Source organism: Homo sapiens, chromosome 16 (genome assembly GCF_000001405.40).
Source record: "Homo sapiens chromosome 16, GRCh38.p14 Primary Assembly".
NCBI classification, from domain to species: domain Eukaryota; kingdom Metazoa; phylum Chordata; class Mammalia; order Primates; family Hominidae; genus Homo; species Homo sapiens.
In genome coordinates, this window is record NC_000016.10 from 46,807,556 (window position 1) to 46,827,893 (window position 20,338).

Below are 20,338 nucleotides of genomic sequence, written 5' to 3' on the forward strand. Positions count from 1 at the left end.
TATGGCTGCTTTCCAGCTACAATGGCAGAGCTGAGTAGTTGTGACAGAGATAGTATGGCCCACAAAGCCTAGAACATTTACTATCTGGCTCTTTACAGAAAAAGTGTAATGACTTCATGGTCTACATAAGATTCCAGTTTGTGCTACAAAAATTAATTTAAGTAATTTCCTACAATTTGTATCAAAAACAAAAAAAAGCATATCTTACTCTAGAAATAGCTTTCTTAAAATTTTTCTGTAATAAACAGAAAATGCCTAAAAAATATTTACAGCTAAACAAATGCTTCTTTTTTCATGTAATCATGAAATAAAAGCTGAAATCCTGCATATATACAGTTCTACCACAAGTATATAGACTTCATTTCCCCAGCTAAAGATGGTCATTATCTGCTTTCTCATCTTCTCTCACCCACCACCAGAAGCATTCTCTTCTTTCAGCTGCATTCCCTCTATTTCAACTGAAAAGAATGTTGTTTTCTGAGCCAGGCAGTATTTCTCTCTTTTCCTTTTTCTCTGCTGACTTTTCTTTACCTAGTTTCCCTTCTAAAATAGGAGTCCTCGGCATAGGTTTTCTGCACCCTATTGTTAAAGAAACATACAAATTTAACAAATAACTCAAACCCTCTGGAAGAGCATAATAGAAAGAGAAAAGCAGTAAAATTACCCAAGGAATATGGAGTACCTTAGTACAGCCTTCCTAGAATACAGTCAAAACCGATATAAACCTTACTCCTTTAGCCATACAATACTAAGACACCTTTAACTTTGATAAAAGCTAGGAATGGCTATACTGGTGAAGCTGTTTTCTAGCAATAGTAACTTTATTCAAATAAAAGCACATAAAGCAGAGAGAAATAGCAAACTGGTAGAATGGTCTTATTGTCTAAAATAAGTGAAATTTACATTTATACAAAAAGCACTTGAGTATCTAAGACAGAACGTCTGAAAAGCAAAGCATAACTCACAAATAGTGTAAGAAATTAAAAATGCATTTCAGTGAAGATGAAATCATTTTGACAGAGGTTTTTAAAGAACAATAAAGAGCAACTATCCCTTTTTTAAATTAACTACCAGCTTGAAAGTCTCAATTTTAAAAAGGTATTTGTGGACATAGAGAGGTTCATTATACTATTTTCTCTACTCTTGCATATGTTGAAATTTTCTGTAAGTTTTTAAAAAGATGCATAAATCAAAGAAAAAGAGAAACTGAAGTTTTAATGTCTAAAAACAAGCTATTGGTAGATATTCGTCAGAAGAAAGAAGACCTGTAAGGAGAAAAAGAAATATACTCTGGACCAAGAAGAATTCATCTATGCAAAAGCTGCCTCAGAGTAGGAAGCACACAAATCTCCCAATGAGCAATTAAAAACTCCACCAACAACACTTTCAATAGTAAAATTTTAAAACTCACAGTATAATAGTTTGAAGTAGTCTTAACAGAACTCAGACATGTCTTTAAAAGACAAAAAAAAAAAAAAAAAAAAGAGGTCCCAACACTTTGGGAGGCCAAGGAGGGCAGATTGCTTGAGCCCAGAAGTTCAAGACTAGCCTGGGCAACATGGTGAAACCCCCCTCTACAAAAAATTAGCTAGGCATGATGGTGCACACCTGTAGTCCCAGCTACTCAGGAGGCTCAGGGGAGAATCACCGGAGCCCTGGAGTTTAAGGCTGCAGTGAGCCATGACCGCGCCACTGCACTCCAGCCTGGGTGACAGAACAACACGCTGTCTCAAAAAAAAAAAAAAGTACAATCATTTTAACAGGCTTCTTCAGGATGTCATATACAAATTATCTTTGAACTCTATTATCATCAGTTTATAGCAAGGTAAATTTTACCTAACTAAGCCTTCAGGTTTCCAATAAGAATTAAATTCCTGTGATTAAAAAAATAATAAGCATCTACCACAGAGGAAATGCTTTCAAACTAAAATATGAGTTGTGATTTTTAAGTCCAGGAGCTCAATGCCTCCACTTTCTTCACTACTACCTAATTAAGATCCCAGATCAATTTAATACTTGAAAAAAAAACTGCTTGATTTGTTCATACCTCTTTCTTCCTCATGTTTTTTGGCAGATGCACTTTTAGGTCTTCCTCTTCCTCGTCTGATATGATCTGAATGGCTGTTACTTCGAGACCTCTTTCTGTTTTCTAAATCTTTATTTACTGTAGAATTTATCTTCTCTCTCCTAACTCTCTCTGTTCGCCTCCTCTTGGCCTCATGCTTGTTTTCTGTATGGATGAATAAAAGTGATATATTTTAGGGCTTAGCAAGAACTGTTTGCCCAAGTTCTCATTGTCTTCCTTTTTCTTTCTAAATAGCACTAGAGTATGCTTCCTGGCATATTTCATAGAACTACAACCATAACATATATGTCTCCCCCACACCCTCATAAGAAAAAAAGAAATTCAATAGAATTCAGATCACAATAACACATGAAGTAGGAGGAATCTTGGAAGAGAAAACAAGTTTCTTCATTTGGCAGCTTAAATTTCAGCCTCTACAAGTTCACACAATTCCATAGCAACCTTTCTGCCTTTTTCTTCCTGTTTCCAAGCTAAAAATAGTGAAATATTAAGAAAGGAAAAAAACTGCATGCCCTTTTGCCCTCTACCTGAGTTAAAGATTAAAATATGTGAAATATGCAAAAGCAAAACTGATCTTAGAGATAACGTATTAAGGTTACAATAAAAATCAAACAGAAAGCATCCATAACAAATATAAAAACCCTAGGCAAGTGAGTAATTTTCACTTTAGCCACAGATAAGGTAATTTCTGATATAAGAGCATGTTGTTCCATAAATGGAATAGCAATAGGGAAACTTTACTAAATATGGTGATTTAATTAGTGCAAGAAGCCACCCCTCCCACTCTAAACAAATCAAAATGTTGGATAAGACAAACAATAAACTTAAAGAAAAAAACAAAACAAAAACAAAAAAGATGATACCTTGCTTTAACACATACCTGCACTCAAAAGCAAGAAAGAGAATTCCCCAAATGCCAAAAATCTCAGTGGTAAAGGGGCAAAACAAACAGAAAAATTCATATCCAAAGAACTAAAGGGAACAATGTGAAAGACTATAAAATAAGTATGCTTAATAGACTGCTGTAAAAAAATTAAAAGTAAAATAGTAATATTATCCCCAAACACCATATCCTTGGAGAATTAATCTGAAGTTTCAAATTAGACATATACCAGATAATACAAGAATATTTAATTATCCCAGATTGCAAGAAAGTTATCAAAGACAAGCAGGGTGTTGTTAAGACTTGGGCTAACATGAAGAGGCTCCCACTATTACAGGACAATTTGAGCATCAATAAAAATAGTAACTGTAACAGATTGAAATATATCAAGCATATGAGTACATTAACATTAAAAACAAAAACTACTTGGCCACCATACGAAGATACTAAAGAACCAACTCATTACTTTGAAAACTTAAATATAGGGCAAGAACAAAGCATTTCTTCTGCTTTTTCTATTTAAACTGTGCTACTCACGGGGTAACCAAAGGGCAAATGAAGAGGTTTCTCATATTAAAGCTAATAAATGAAGAAGGAATGACAGAATCAGAGTATCAACATTTTTCAACCTGCAATGAACTAAAGGTTCTAAGCACTAAACATCAGCAGGTACTAACATCACTAAAAGAGAGAAGCAGGCCAGGCGCGGTGGCTCACACCCATAATCCTAGCACTTTGGGTAGCCAAGGCGGGTGGATCACCTGAGGTCAGGAGTTCGAGACCAGCCTGACCAACATGGCAAAACCCCGTCTCTACTAAAAATACAAAATTAGCTGGGTGTGGTGGCACGTGTCTGTAATCCCAGCTACTTGGGAGGCTGAGACAGGAGAATCGTTAGAACCTAGGAGGCAGAGGTTGTGGTGAGCTGAGATAGCACCATTGTATTACAGCATGAGCAACAAAAATGAACTCCATCTCAAAAAAAAAAAAAAAGAGAGAGAGAAGCAGACTTTAAGCACCTCTGGATAGAGGTACACATCACTACCTATTAAGTAGTCTTGTAAAAAAAAAAAAATTCCAATCTCTCCAGCCCTTAGATCTAACTTACAACTAATAGGAAAAAGAGGTTATTCAAGGAATATGTTAAGTGACACCATGGGGATACAAACAGCACATACAAATGGACAGGTGATGCCATTTCTTCAACATCTAACTTGCAAGGAGAAAAAGAGAAAATAATAGATAATAAGAGGGTTAAAAAAGATATAATCTAGCCAGGCTCAGTAGCTCATGCTTGTAATCCAAAAGCACTTTAGGCATTTGGGAGGCCGAGGCAAGAGTATTGCTTGAGGCCAGGAGTTTGAGACCAGCCTGGGCCACATAGCAAGACCCTGTCTCAGCCTGGGTGACAAAGCGACACCCTGTTCTTAAACAAATGACAGGGTGTGGTGGCTCACGCCTGTAATCCCAGCACCTTGGGAGGCCAAAGGGGGCGGATCACCTGAGTTCAGGAGTTCGAGACCAGCCTAGCCAACATGATGAAACCCCATCTCTACTGAAAATATACAAATTAGCCAGGCATGGTGGTGTGCGCCTGTAGTCCCAACTACTCAGGAGGCCAAGACATGAGAATTGTTTGAACCCAGGAGGAAGAGGCTGCAGTGAGCTGAGATCGTGCCACTGCACTCCAGCCTGGGTGACAGAGCGAGACTCTGTCTCAATAAATAAATAAATAAATAAATAAATAAGATAGCACCCATATGCAATTTGTGGACCTTATTTAAAATCTGTTTTTAAAATTCTAAGACAATTTTTGAGAAAAGTGAAAATGTGAACACAAGTCGGATATTTATTAATAAGAAATTATCATTAATTTTTTATGTTATAATGGCATTGTGCTTACATTTTTTAATGTTCATCTTTTGGAAACATAATGAAATATTTATAACTGAAATTATATGGGATTTGCTTCAAAATGATGCAAAGGAAGAGGTAGACAGGATTGTGGATGGGGCAGGGTTGGTCATTTTCTACTTTTGCATATGCTTAGAATTTCTCAAAAAAATAAAGGTTAAAAGAACTAGTGATAGATGAAGCTTTAAATAGTATGCCTATTAAAGTCTAACACTGAATTTGGGTTTGTTCCCCCAGCTACCCAGTCATCTCTGCAAACTTCTTCACAGCCAAACTTCTCAAAAGAGGTACCTGTACTTTCTGCCTTCAGTTTTTCATCTCCCATTCACTCATCAAATCTATTCCAGTATAGTTCCTATCCCACTGAAACTGACTGTCAAAAACAACAAAAACCTGTTACCAAATCTTAATAGACACCTCACTTACCATCTTACACCATCTCTCAAAAATTCAACAAAGATGACTACTACTTTCCTTGAAATTATTTTGCTTGATTCTCAGGCTCCCCCAGTTTCTTCACCTCATCAGTCACTCCTCCTAATCGCCTTTGCTGTGTGCCCTTCCCCTAGGTGCTTTCCCAATCTAACGTCAAGGCCCCAGGATTCTGTCCAGAGCCCTCTTCTCTTACTTAGACTTTGCCTAGATCATCTCGTAAACCCACAGCATTAAACACTATTGTTATGATGGCTCCAAAGTTTTCACCTTCTGCTCTGATTTCTTCCCTAAACTCTAGACTGCCTACCTGACAACTTCACTTGAATGTCTCAAAGGCATTTCAAATTGTATCAAAAAATAACTCTTGGTTCTCCCTCTCCCAAATCTGTTACTCCTACTACTTTCATCATATTAGTAAATAGCATCACCTGGTTGTACTAGTCAAATAACTTGTAGTCGTTTGTGACTCATCTTGCTTCCTGTACCATCGCTAAGGTCCACAGATACTCCTTGCAAAATATACCCATAATCTCTTCATTTCTCTCCACCTCCACAGGCAACATCCCAGTCAAACCTATTCTCTACGTACCAGCCAATATTATCTTAAAAAAAAAAAAAAAAAAATCAAACTGCATAGCTTCCCTTCTAAAGCCTTTCATAAGCTTTTTTCCATATTTAAACTAAAAATTCCTTACCAAAGACAAGTCCCCAACAGATCTGGCATTTGCCTCTTTCTCCAGTCTCATGATGCTCAAGCTCACCACTTTGTTCACTACACTCCAGACGTGCCTTTCTTTTAATAAAACGAGCTCCTTCCTCCGCTGAGTCTATGTATACGCTAATCCTTCTGCCTAGAGCTCTCTTCCCACGGCTCTTCATAAGATAAGCCTTTTTTTCTCTTCAGATATCCATATACAGGTCACTTGCTCTGATTCTCCCAGCCCAAGTTACTTCCTGTAATCTACTACAGCTATAATCTGTTATTTATTTACTTATATGCTCAATGCGTCTCCTCCATCAAAATATAGGCTTTATGAAACTTGGGAATCCTTGGCCTACCTTATTTGCAGAACCCAGAACATTACTTACACAGACTGTTGAATAAATAAAATCGGATAGGACACACATTTACCTTACCACCTTCTCAAAATCCCATTGAATGAGAAGAAACATGGGAAGAGGGGAAGGAGAAAAAGGAAAATATATCTGTGGTGCTGGAAACAAGAAAAAGGTACTATTAATGACCCAAAATTACAGAATTTCAGCAAACTGGCAACCTGATGGTTCTGATAAGAAACAAGAATAAAATAAACTACAATCCAAAAATAGGAGTAAGTGATAGCTGCTATAGAACGGAGAGCTGTTCCTCCCAAAGGAGGATTCTCAAGGATAATCCCAGGGCAGGACAAAAAGTACAGTAAGGGAGAGCAGGCCACCAAGGTGATCATCAAAATAACTAGAGACTATTGCAGTACAGTTGGGCCTATGTATACAGAGCAACTGACATAAGGAAGCTCTCAGGAACAGAGCAATGTGCAAGAGAACTTCAAACCTCCATAATATAGGAAAAAGCCAGCTCCTCACAGGAATGAAATACTGTAAGAGATTTCACATTCCACCCCAGAATGAAGCCTGCCTTATTTTGGCAATAAGGGAATTCACCAGTGTACTGCCTGCTCACCTCCTGCCACTAAACTCCCAATTATACACTGAAGAGACCTTTTGTCAAAACAGACGTTTAAAACAGTGTAGGGTATTCATTAAACTTACCTACACTGATAAACCAAGTCCTTCATTTGTATCACACCAACAGTCAATTAAACATTACTAGCTATAAGAAGAAAATAATAGTCAAGAGAAGAGCCAAAATAAAACAGGAAGAACAAAGATAGTTCAACAAACAAGCAAACAAAAAATTAAAACATTCTAATGCATACCTTGAGAGATCTGAAAGGAGATTATCATTAAGAATAAGATTATTTTTGCAGAAACAGAAAAACCCATCCTAAAATTCACATGGAATCCCAAGGATTTCCAAGTAGCCAAAACAATCTTGAAAAAATTCAAAGTTAGAGGTCCCACACTTCTTGATTTCAAAACTTACTACAAAGCTATAATAATCAAAACAGTATGGTACCGACATAAAGACAAATATACAGACCAAAGGAATAAAAATAAACCTCAGACATAAACACACACATACAGTCAAAGGATTTTCAATAAGAGTCTGAGACAATTCAAGGTAAAGTACAGTATCTTCCACAAGTTGTAACAGGAAAACTGGGTATCTACACAATGTAGCATAATTCACACTAGCCAAAAAATGAAGTTAGACCCTTATCTTACTCCATACACAAAAATTAACTCAAAATGGATCAAATATCTAAATATAACCACTAAAACCATAAAACTGTTTAAAAAATCATGGAAAAGCTTCATGACATTGGATTTTGGCAATAATTTCTTGGATATGATACCAAAAGCGAAAGCAAAAGCAATGAAAGAAAAAAAAAAAACAGACAAAATGGACTTCATCAAAATTAAACTTCTGTGTATCAAAGGACACTATCAACAGACTGAAAAGGCAATACATGGAATGGGAGAAAATATATGCAAATTATTATAAGAGATTAATATTCAGAATAATATAAAGAATTTACAAGTCAACAACAACAACAAAAAAAATCCCCAATTCAAGAATGGGCAGAAGACTTGAATAGGTATTTCTCCAAAGAAGATATATAAATGGCCACTAAGCACATGCAAAGATGTTCAATATCACATCAATAAGAAAATGCAAATCAAAACCACAGCAAGATACCACTTCATACTCTTCAGATTATTATAAAAAGCAAAGCAAAACAAAACCAAAAAATAAAGTGTTGGTGAGGATGTAGAGAAACCGGAAGGAACATTTGTACACTGCTGGTAGAAATGTAAAATGGAGCTGCTATGGAAAACAGTAAATTCAGTCCTCAAAAAATTAAAATAGAATCAACATATGATCCAGCAATTCCTCTGGGCATATACCCAAAAGAAATGAAAGCAGAGATCAGGACAGATATTTGTATACCATGCAGCATTATTCACAATAGCAAAAAGGTTAAAGCAACCCAAGTGTCCACTGATGAATACATAAACAAAATATGGCATATACATACAATGGAATATTATTTAACCTTAAAAAGGAAATTGTCATGCATGTTACAACATGAATGAAACCTTGAGGACACTGTGTTAAGTAAAATAAGCCAGACATAAAAGTACAAATATTGTATGATTCCACTTACATGAGATGGCTAGAGCAGTGAAATTCACAGACAGAGAAAGCAGAATGGTGGTTGCCTGGGGTATGGGGGAGAAGGAAGTGGCTGTCATTGTTTAATGGGTACACGGTTTCAGTTTGGAAAAACAAGTTCTGGAATTGGATGGTAGTGATGGTTAAGAATACAATATGAATGCACTTAATGCCACTAAACTATACACTTATAAATGGTTAAAATAGAATATTTTGTTATATTTTCCCACAATAAAAGTATTTTCAAAATTCTATGAAAAAGAATAAATTAGAAAACAAGATACCCTGCTAAAGCGTAGGTGCTAATAAGCTAAATTTGACACGCTTGATGACAAAATTATAGATGTAGAAAGGAAAATCAACAAAATTTCCTGGAATAAAGCAAAAAGACAAAAAGAGAATGTGACAGAAAGTAAAGAAAAATAAAGGAAAGATCCAAGAAACCTAATAGATATCCCTATGACAGAACTGCTAATTATATACCCATTATTCTTTCTCCCCATCTTCTTTAAGAACAGAATCTTGTTCTGTTAAAGAGGACAATATGCCTAAAATAGGTATACATTCTCAAGACTCTCCCTGCAGGTGAGGTGGCATCTAGCTCTAGCCAATGACAGGTAAGTGAAACTGGGTAAGGTTTCCAGAAAGATTTTTTTCAAGGGAAGAAGCATAGCTGGCATGTCCCTTTGTCTCTCTGCTCTTCCCTCTTCTTCCTTCTTGAAATGTGTATAGGATGCTTAGATGTGCAATAAGAACTACCTCAGAACCATGAGGATAAGCCACGTCTTCTTAAGGTGGAAGAAAGAGAAGAGACTAAAGTCTTTGATGACATCATTGAGCCAATATCCTTGTACTGCCTATCTTTATCCTTCTTCCAATACAGTGTCAGTTTCCAAGACAGTGTAAAAGGCAATCCTAACATGATCCTATAGGCATGCCAGAATGAAAAGAAAAGGAAATGGAGGGAAAAGCAATAATGGATAGAAACCACCTTGAGTTGAAGACCTGAGCTTTCAGATGGAAAGGACCCACTGAATGCCAAGGAAGAATGAGAACAAAATTAAAGTGTGAATGCAAAACAAAGGCACTCTCCACAACAGAAGATAGGAAATGCACATTATGTCTTTTCTGGAAAAGTTTTTCCAGAAATAAAACAATTTCTGGGAAATTTATTCCAAAAGTAAAAACATATGGGTAAAAAAGAACAAAGACATAGTATGTAAGAAAGAGTGGTACCAGGTGCAGTGGCTCACCCCTGTAATTCCAGCACTTTGGGAGGCAGAGGCGGGCAGCTCCACCTGAGGTCAGAAGTTCAAGACCAGCCTTACCAACATAGAGAAACCCTGTCTCTACTAAAAATAAAAAAATTAGCTGGGCATGGTGGCACACACCTGTAATCCCAACTACTAGGGAGGCTGAGGCAGAAGAATCATTTGAACCCGGGAGGTGGAGGTTGCAGTAAGCCGATATCAGGCCACTGCACTCCAGCCTGGGTGATGGAGCAAGACTCTGTCTCAAAAAAATAAAGAAAGAAAGAAAGAGTGGGATTATCCTGGGAGTACAATGGAAAGAAATCCTAGTACAATAGCTGTACGGCAGACCTAAAAACAATCAGTCTTAATTAGAAGTCAAAGAACTCTATGAAAAGTGTTTTAAAGATGAATATAGATATCATAGACTATATGATTAAGAACCTAAAAGTACAGGCTCAGAGGTAAAGGTATGCATTTTTTTCATCAAAAAGCAAAAAAAAAAAAAAAAAAAAAAACCACAAAAATCAACTATATAAAAGCCATGTTCCATACAGGAATGTACAGCACTTTTATGCAATTAGCATGTAAGGGAAGATGCTTCCTTTTCTTTTTTTCTAATTTTTGTATTTTTAGTAGAGATGGGTTTTTACCATGTTGGCCAGGTTGATCTTGAACTCCTGACCTCAAGTGATCCATCTGCCTCAGCCTCTCAAAGTGCTGGGATTATAGGCATGAGTCACCGCCCCTGGCCAGCAAGTAAAGAACAATACTTTCTGAATAACAGAACCAAACCTCCACAGTCAAGTAATTCAGAGTTGAGGACCACTTATACTACTGAATTAATACTCAATCACTTTGGATTTATAAAAGGTACAGGTGATAATCATTTCTCCATTTTTTTCCCTTAACTAAAAGTGAACTTGTCACTTATGAACGTCTTTGCTTATCAGCCTTAGCCTATTAACTTATATTAAAGAATAACTTGAAAACTAAGTTGAGGGTTTTTTTCCCTTTTTTCTTTCTCCCAGTGAAAAAAGGAGGAGGTTATTTATTTGACTATGCTTACTCTAAACCTTTTACTCACTGAAAATTTCATAGTTAAAATACTAATAAGCAATTATAATTTCCTACTGTCTCAACTATTTTTTCTTTCCTTTACAGGAAATTCTAAATCTTAAATTTTATTAAATTTTAAATTCTAAATTTTATGAACTAGTGTCCATTTAGAAATTTACTTTTTCTTCTATAGTTTTTATAATTAAAATTTTCTTCTTTTTAAATTTGAGATAGAGTCTCACTCTGTCACTCAGGCTGGAGTGCAGTAGTGAGATCACCGCTCACTGCAACCTCTGCTTCCCAGGCTCAAGCAATCCTCCCACCTCAGCCTCCCAAGTAGCTGAGACAACAGGCACACACCACTGAGGCAGAAAAATAGGGTCTGGAGGCAGGGAACTAAGGCAATCTCACACTTCAGCTATAACAGGAAATATCCTCTTCATAGGGCATAGGCCAGGTAAATGACTTCGTAACTTTACTTCATCCTCTCCATAGGGCATAGGCCAAGTAAATGACTTTGTAACCTTACTTCATCCTCTCCTTTTACATAGGGTGTGCCCCAAAAAGAGGGTATTTAAACTCACAAAAACTCTGTAACTAACAGGGCCTTTGAGCCCCTATGCTCCAAGCCCACTCCCACGCTGTACTTTCATTTTCAATAAATCCCTTCATTCCTTCCTTGCTTTGTGTGTTTCGTCCAATTCTTTGTTCAAGACACCAAGAACCTGGACACCCTCCACAGTTAACATCACCATGCCTGGCTAATTTTTTGTTATTTTTCTTTTTTACAGACAGGGTTTCGCCATGTTGCCCAGCCTGGTCTCGAACTCTTGAGCTCAAAGTGAACTGCTCGCCTTGGCCTCCCAAAGCACTGGGATTACAGGTGTGAGACCTTGTGCCCAGCCTGTAACCTCCGCCTCACTGGTTCAAGTGATTCTCCTGCCTCAGCCTCCCGAGTATTTGAGATTACAAGTGCACACCACCACGCCCAACTAATTTTTGTATTTTTAGCAGAGACGGGATTTCACCATGTTGGCCAGGCTGGTCTCAAACTCCTGACCTCAGATGATCCGCCCGCCTCAGTCTCCTAAAGTGCTGGGATTACAGGCGTGAGCCACCGTGCCGGCTGAGCATTTCTTAACACAGTGTTACTGCTAACACGCATCTCTTTCTCTCACACAAATTAATTTTAAACTTTAAAAAACTCAATTCCACCGGGCGCAGTGGCTCATGCCTGTAATCCTAGCACTCTGGGAGGCCGAGGCGGGCGGATTACCTGAGGTCGGGAGTTTGAGACCAGCCTGACCAACATGGAGAAACCCCACCTCTACTAAAAATACAAAATTAGCCGGGTGTGGTGACACATTCTTGTAATCCTAGCTACTTGGGAGGCTGAGACAGGAGAATGGGTTGAATCCAGGAGGCAGAGGTTGCAGAGGTTGTGGTGAGCCAATATTGTGCCATTGCACTCCAGCCTGGGAAACAAGAGCGAGACTCCATCTCAAAAAAAAAAAATTTCATTAATTCCTGTAATAGATTTTATATATACATATTTTCAGCTACGCTAAGTTCTATATAGTTTTACTCTACCACCTCCCTATTTCTCTGCATGTTACGAAGGTATAAATAATTGATTGGCATATATGAAAAACATGACTTTTAAACAATTCATATCTAGCTAAATCTATTCAGCCTAACAGATTCTTTTCTTCCTGCACATCACAAACTGTGTACAATAATTGAATAAGAGCTTTCAACCTAGTGAAATTTTAAAAATATCTTTTACAGCTTTATTTTTAAAATCAATGAGCTTTAATTATAGTTTTTTTAAAAAGATGTTTACTTATGCAAACAAGTCTTCCTTGACTCTGTACTTGTTATATAGTTACCTATCTATCCATTTATGTATTTACTTATTAATACTACATGTAGAAATCATTTTGTGGGGTTTTAAAAACAAACAAGCTCATATCCAAGTATTGTTTTGCAGTTTTTCCTTAAATTAACAATGTTTTAGAGATCTTTCCATTTCAGTACATAAAATCTGTATCATTCTTTCAAACTAGCACATACTATTAACTAAAAGATAATTTAGCTACTTAATTTAACCATTCCCCTACTGATTACATCTGGCTTACTAACAACCTTCTGCTATTATAAAGTGTTGCCTTGAAAACCCTAGTAAATGCTTCATTGTGTATATAAACAATTAGGCTCTCTAGGCTACCTACCTACTGATTAAGAGCTCTGCATTCTAGGTTATGTGTATTTAAACCTTTTAACAACTACTGGTAAGACTGGTCTCCAAAATGGCTGTACCAACTAATGCTCCCACCAACAGTATGAGACTATCCATTTTGCCATACTCATGAAAGTACTTAGAAATTCTTTACATTTATGTGAACTGTGGGCAAAAAGAATGGCATTTTGTTTCAACCGCATTTCCCTGATAATTAGTGAAGTTGGTTATCTTTCAGATATATAGTGTATATTTTCATTTCTTCTATTAATTCTCCACTACTTTCCTTAAAACTGAAATGTTCTATATCTCACTGACGACATTAAGCACTTGATAAATTGTAGTGACCTTAAACTCTTCTCAATTCCCTACATACCATGGGATTATCCAAGGCAAATCTTACTTCTAAGAAATTTAATTGTAAAAACGAGAATTACTGAGTACCTAAAACTTACCATGCTTTGCAAATGTTAGACATTTTCATATGTACTTCAATCCTCTAACACTGGTACTATAAATCTATCTTATAAACAAACAACAGTTGCTCATGGAGGTTAACTAGGCTGCTTAGAAAGGGACAGAATCTGAATCTGAAGCCAGGTTTTCTGACCCCCACGTCTGTACTCTACCAAACTGTTTTTGAGGCTTTGAATACTCTTAATCCTCTCCCTAAAATCTTTTCCTCCTGTGGTTTCTATGGCACAGCCTATCCTTGATGTTTCTCCTTCCTTTCTGGTTTGGTTTTGTTGCTGGTTCTTCCTCCTCCTGCAGGGATTTCTGGGCTTCAATGTTTCATCTTCACTTCAAAGTCAAAAGACCACTCTTACTAAACAAGGAAATCTCAGGAAACTCCAAATACAAAATAATAATGAATTGCTTCTTAAAACTCATCGCCATGACTTACATAACATTGTGCTGTTGGTTTTTCTCCTACAGCTGACATTTCTTCTTAGTTGATCTGACCTGTCTGTAAAATTGGTGTCTGTCACAGTTTAGTCCCTGAATGCCTTCCTCTTCCTAACTTACAAACTCTGCACCGCGAGCTCATCCATTTTCCATGATGACAACTACCATCTAGTCACTGATGGCTCAAAAGTTTTACCTGCAGCTGAGGCTGCAGACTATATGTCCAACTGAAAAAAAAATCTACACGGATGATGTTTCTATACCCAAAATTAAATTCTTCATCTTTCCCCCACAGCTTGTTTTCCCTCTTATATTCTCTTTTAACTAGCAATCCAAGTCAGAGATCTGGGAATCTTCTAAATTCTTCCCTCTGGTTTAACTGGTTAAACTTAACAACTCATTAACACTTGTATCATCTGTTCCTCCTTTTTTTCATTTTATTTTAGACAAGGTCTCACTCTGTCACCCAGGCTAGAATACAGTGGTACAATCACAGCTCACTGCAGCCTCAACTTCCCAGGCTGATGCGATCCTCCTGCCTCGGCCTCCCAAAATGCTGGAATTATGGGCATAAGCCATCATGCCTGGCCCTGTTCCTTCTTTTATCTTTGTTGACTTTCTTAACTCATTTCTCATCTGAATCACTGGTACATAAAAGGAGCTCAAAAATACTTGAATTAAAAAAATAAGCACTTTGTCTCCCTAAGAACAAGGACCATGTCTTATTCATTTTTAGAAACTCAGCACTGAGCTGACACGCCACCCCAAAATAGCTACCGAGTGAATCATCATTTCAGGGTTCCTTTATCTAAACCAAACTCTCAGAGAGTAAGATCCAGAAATGCATTTTTAACAAGTTCTCTGCATGAATCCTATACAGCCAACCCAGCAACCGCCTTTAAGAACCAGTGAATTATGTTCATTCTCATGATGAGAAGAGAACTGAAACAGTGACAGAAATGGAACTAAACAAGTTTCCTGCCACTTCTATATAGACCTAAGATAAATAAACCTCTCAGACATAAATAAAAATTATTATTGAATCATCTGCTACTATCATCAGTCTTTGTCTAACTCAGTATTCTTAGTTAGCCTACTGCAATAATCCACTTCCATATTTGTACCCCTACAAACTATTCTCTACACAGCAGCTAGAATGATCTTTCTAAAACTCAAATCAGAGGATGCCATCTTCTCCTCTCTTCATCCCACCCCATCTCAGGGACAGTTTCTCCTCACAGTTTACAAACAAAATCCAAACTTCTTACTCTGGTTTACAAAGCCCTATACAATCTAGCCTCTGCCTAGCCCTGTGAACTCATCTTCCACTCTTCTAATCATACTGTCTACACTGCAATCGCAATGGTCTTTTTTGTTCCTAAAATATAAAAAATGTTTTCCAACCTTAGAACTTTTGCACTTGCTATTTCCATCTGTCAAGAATGTTCTTTTCCCTGATCTTATCATGGCTAGCCCCTTCTATCCACTGAGACTCCATTTAAATGTCACCTCCTCATAGGGGCCTTCTCTAACCACCCAATCAAAAGTAGCCTTCCAGTCACTTCATAGGACTATAAAGCATTTATCACAAGGTTACATTTTCTCTGTATATTTGTTCACTGTCTATCTCCCACCCACAAGAATATAAGCTCCATGACACCAGTAAATCTGCCTTAACAGTAGAATTCAGTGCTTTGTGCCCAAGGCTTGGAATAGTGTCTAGCATATAGCAGGTGCTCAGTATATATTTGTAATGAACCTACTCTTATTTCGAGGTCACCACCATATGAAGGTCTGCTTTTAGCCAAGAATAAGTAACAAAATTGTATCTTTTAATATTAATAAATATGTCTATTGAATAAATCCAATTTGTCTACGTTAATGGAAAAGCAACAAGTTCAAACAAAATCATTATTTGGATATCCTCAGTCAGGGAACTGTAAAACATAGTCAACATGTCTAAAAACGTTTTTCATACCAAAACCAAGCTATATTTTTCAACGGTCACTAGTTTAAAAAAAAAACAAAACTTAAAAGTTGCTGCAAATTTTACCACCATTATGAGAGAAAAAATTCAAATGTCCATCAACAGGAGAATGGATAAACAAATCTCCATACAAAGACTCCTACTAAGCAATAAAAAGGAATGAACTCTTATTGGTACATACAACATGGCTGAATCCTAAATAATTACACTCAGTGAAAGAAGCCAGGCAAAAAAGAGTACATACTATATGATTCCATAAATACGAACAGTAACAGAAAGCAGATCTGTGGTTACCTGGGGTGGAGGTAGCAGGAAGGAGGGATTACAAAGGGAACTAGAACACTTTTGAAATTGATGAATGTTCATAATATTGATTGTGGTGATTGATTGGTATATACATATGTCAAAACTTATCAAACTGTGCACTTCAAATACATCCAATTTACTCAATGTCAATTATTACTAAAGCTATTTTTTTAAAAAGTTTTTATATCAGATCAGGTCACTCCCTTGCTAAAACCTTTCAATGGTTCTCCACCTTCAAAAATAAAAAATTTGTTACAAGCGTTATCAGCATTGTAAGGGACTTAACATTTAAATGGAATGCACATGAAACCAACGTCGTAAACTAATTCCAATAGTTAATAAAAGCCAAAAACACTTGAATAGATTTAAACTTTTAACTTCAACAAAAAATGTAAATAGAAACTTCACAAAAATTAACTTTACATTTCTACATCAAAAAGCTAAAAATGTATTAAACTCACAGTTACCTGTAGAAGGTGGTGATTTCTCTGAGTGTTTTGCATTTAAAAGTTTTCTGCTAATAAATATGTAACCACAAGGACATGATTTACATGCAACAGGAACCTGTAGGAAAAAAAGAAAAATATATATTATTACTATTTTTCTATTGTTAAATTTCTCAGTGTCTATGTGGTCTCCTCAAATGAATGATAAATTACTTGAAGGAGGAATCATGTATTTATTTAAACCTCAACTCCTTACAACAAATTATCTGAGATGAGTATCATATCACATAGATATTCACATTCTTTTTTTTTTTTTTTTGAGACGGAGTCTCACTCTGTCACCCAGGCTGGAGTGCAGTGGCATGATCTAGGCTCACTGCAACCTCCACCTCCTGAGTTCAAGTGATTCTTCTGCCTCAGCCTCCCAAGTAGCTGGGACTACAGGCACACGCTACCATGCCCAGCTAATTTTTGTATTTTTAGTAGAGATGGGGTTTTACTATATTGGCCAGGTTGGTCTTGAACTCCTCACCTCGTGATCCGCCCACCTCAGCCTCTCAAAGTGCTAGGATAACAGAAGTGAGCCACCACACCCGGCCTGATACTCATATTCTTCTACTGCTTAACAAAACCATGAAGACTATACCATACCAATACCATAAAAAATAAATATGTATTAAATATGCACTGATGTGAGTGACCAATAGAAAACTGTAATAGGGTCAGAGCAAGGGGAAGTATGTGGAAAAAAAGGTAGCATTTCCTAAAATGTTAGTTTGACAGCTTTTTACGGTATAGAACAAATTTGAAAAGGGTGAGTGGGTAGGAAGTCATTAAAGTAATCCTGGTAAAAGATTATGAAGGACCAAGTGGAATAGTGAGAACGGAAATGGAAAAAGGTAGATCTGCCAGAGTTTCCAAGGCAAGAAAAACAGACAAAGGCCCAAACTGATGACTGGTGATAAAGTGGGAAGAAGTGAAAATAACTCAGGATTCTAACATGAGAGGAGAAGATATCAACTACCACTGACAAAGAATAAAGAATAGTTTATAGCAACCAGATTTTTCTTAAATTCTTAAATTGTTGTGGGTAGATAGTAGGTGTACATGTTTATGGGGTACACTAATATAGACATGCAATGCGTAACAATCACATCATGGAAAATTGGGTATTCAACCCCTCAAGCATTCTTCCTTTTTGTTACAAACAATCTATACTCTTTTAGTTATTTTTAAATGTACAATTAAATTATTATTGACTATAGGACTGGGCGCAGTGGCTCACACCTGTAATCCCAGCACTTTGGGAGGCCGAAGCAGGTGGATCACTTGAGGTCAGGAGTTTGAGACCAGCCTGACCAACATGGTGAAACCCCGTCCCTACTAAAAAAAATACAAAATTAGCCAGGCGTCATGGCACATGCCTGTAATCCCAGCTACTTGGGTGGCTGAGGCAGGAGAATCGCTTGAACCTGGAAGGCAGAGGTTGCAGTGAGCCAAGAGTGCACTATTGCACTCTAGCCTGGGCAACATGAGCAAGACTCTGTCTCAAAAAAAAAAAAAAAAAAAATTATTATTAACTATAGTCCCCCTGTTGTGCTATCAAATATTAGGTCTTATTCTTTCTAACAACAACCAGTTTGAGGGGCAAAAGTATGCTGACATAAAAAAAGAGAATGTAGGAGAAGGTAGGAATTTAGATCCAGAATCTTATATCTTAGTTCCAGGAATGACTCCGGACAAGATATTTAAGATCTTCAAGCTTCTGTTTCCAAATCTGCAAAATACGTAAATTTCCTTTCTCTACTCCAAACTTATAACTGTTTTTTAAGCCAAGTGCTACTGAAAATCATTGAAAAAATTTTTTAGTTTTCCCCATAATCATTTCACCCATATCAAAGTTAATGATCCTTGGAATCAAGACATGTTCACCAAAAGTCTGAAACTAATCTCAACGAAAAAGTATTTACAGAATAATTACAGTAAGAAAACTGCAATTCCCTTTGTAAGATAAATTCCCCCATTTGGCAGTTGTTCTGCTATGTAAAAACTGAGTTAAAATTATGAAGCTTTTTATCTATGTATGTACAGAATGCCTCATGTTATAGAATCTAAACACTTGATCTAATTGAGCTAAATTGAAATTTTGGCAGAATAATTCCTTTTCTTTGTATAAAAACATTGAACAAAGGATCTCCAATTTGTATTTAAGAAAAATAACAAAGAAATCAATAAAAATAATCAAACTCCAGATTTGTCTAACAGCTTGCTTTGTTAAGAATGTAATGAGATCCCTTCAAATCACGACAAAAAAAATGCTACATTTTTTAAATAGTGTAAAATCTGTCTAAAATAGATGTCTGACATTTTTTCAAATTTCGTATCTTCATAGAAACCAAGCTCAAAGGCACTGACTCATTTCCTTTACACCTAAACATATTATTAAGGGCATCCACAGTAATGTAAATTGTTTTAAATTAATGCTATCCAAAATACGCAAATGCATGTTCTTACTCAACAGCTCCTTTCCTAATCAGCAAGCATTTTCTTCCAGCTACTGAAACTCAATAAATTTGAATTTGGGTTTCAGTCTTATACAAAAGAACTTCATATCAATCCATCTCCAGAATTAACAGTGTTGCAGTTAGATGAGAAGTATACATTTGGCTTTGGGACCCAGAATGCACAAACACTGACTAACTGAATTAACAGGTTGATTTTCATCCACAAATGAAAGTGTTTTATGCTCAATAAACCCTCATGTGCCTGAGTTAATTCATTCTATAGTTTGAGTTAATTCATTCTATAGTCTGAGTTAATTCATTCTATAGTCCTATTTAAAATAAAAAGTTCCTTCCCCACAACCTCTGCCCTGGAAAACAAAAAACAAAAAACACACCACCACCACCATCACCACCCTAGATCCTGTAAAAAGAATTATCAAATAGGTTGGACAACTTCAGTAATATTAACCTCATTTCATTAATTATAGTATAATTTAGATTTTAAACAAACACACTAAAGTTTCTTTAAATTTCAGTTGATAATACTAAACCTAACAGTACTGAAATTCTAATATTACACTTTCAGGATTTTAAAAAAAAGAAAATATTCAAAGTATTGTTTACTGATAGTTTACTGGGCATTAATTCACTTTTTTAAAAAAAGATTTAGGTTGTTTGTATGTTTTACAAGTAAAACAGATTTTTTATTTATTTATTTATCTTTTTTTTTTGAGACGAAGTCTCACTCTTGTCCCCCAGGCTGGAGTGCAATGGCGCGATCTTGGCTCACTGCAACCTCTGCCTCCCAGATTCAAGTGATTCTCCTTCCTTAGCCTCCTGTGTAGCTGGGATTACAGGTGCCTGTCACCACGCCCGGATAATTTTTGTATTTTTAGTAGAGATGGGGTTTCACCATGTTGGCCAGGCTGGTCTCGAACTCCTGACCTCAGGTGATCCACCCACCTCGGCCTTCCAAAGTGCTGGGATTACAGGTGTGAGCCACCATGCCCAGCCTGGATTTTTTA

At 36.7% G+C, this 20,338-nt stretch overlaps 1 protein-coding gene across 7 annotated transcripts in view, besides 1 other annotated feature; it reads right to left on the minus strand.

The window, feature by feature from the left end:
• C16orf87 (chromosome 16 open reading frame 87) overlaps positions 1 to 20,338 on the minus strand; it is a 34,578-nt gene that overhangs the window by 10,953 nt on the left and 3,287 nt on the right. For 3 of the 7 annotated variants that reach the window (NR_145836.2, NR_145837.2, NM_001001436.4), the window contains exons 2-3: positions 16,831 to 16,927; positions 2,048 to 2,230 (exon numbers count right to left, since the gene is read on the minus strand). Coding sequence is in view for 3 of the 7 variants with exons in the window: in NM_001001436.4 (NP_001001436.1) it covers positions 2,048 to 2,230; positions 16,831 to 16,927 (280 nt within the window). In the remaining 4 variants the exon portion in view is untranslated. Of the gene's footprint in view, positions 1 to 413; positions 580 to 2,047; positions 2,231 to 16,824; positions 16,928 to 20,338 lie in introns of all 7 variants that reach the window. The other 4 variants (NM_001348660.2, NM_001348661.2, NR_145835.2 and 1 more) reach the window with 3 other exon arrangements.
• Positions 5,662 to 5,731: an enhancer, noted in NCBI's record as "active region_10777". NCBI's record gives its function as "activates an Ori minimal core promoter by ATAC-STARR-seq in GM12878 lymphoblastoid cells {active_cell/tissue: GM12878}" and the evidence as "EXISTENCE:reporter gene assay evidence [ECO:0000049][PMID:35858748]".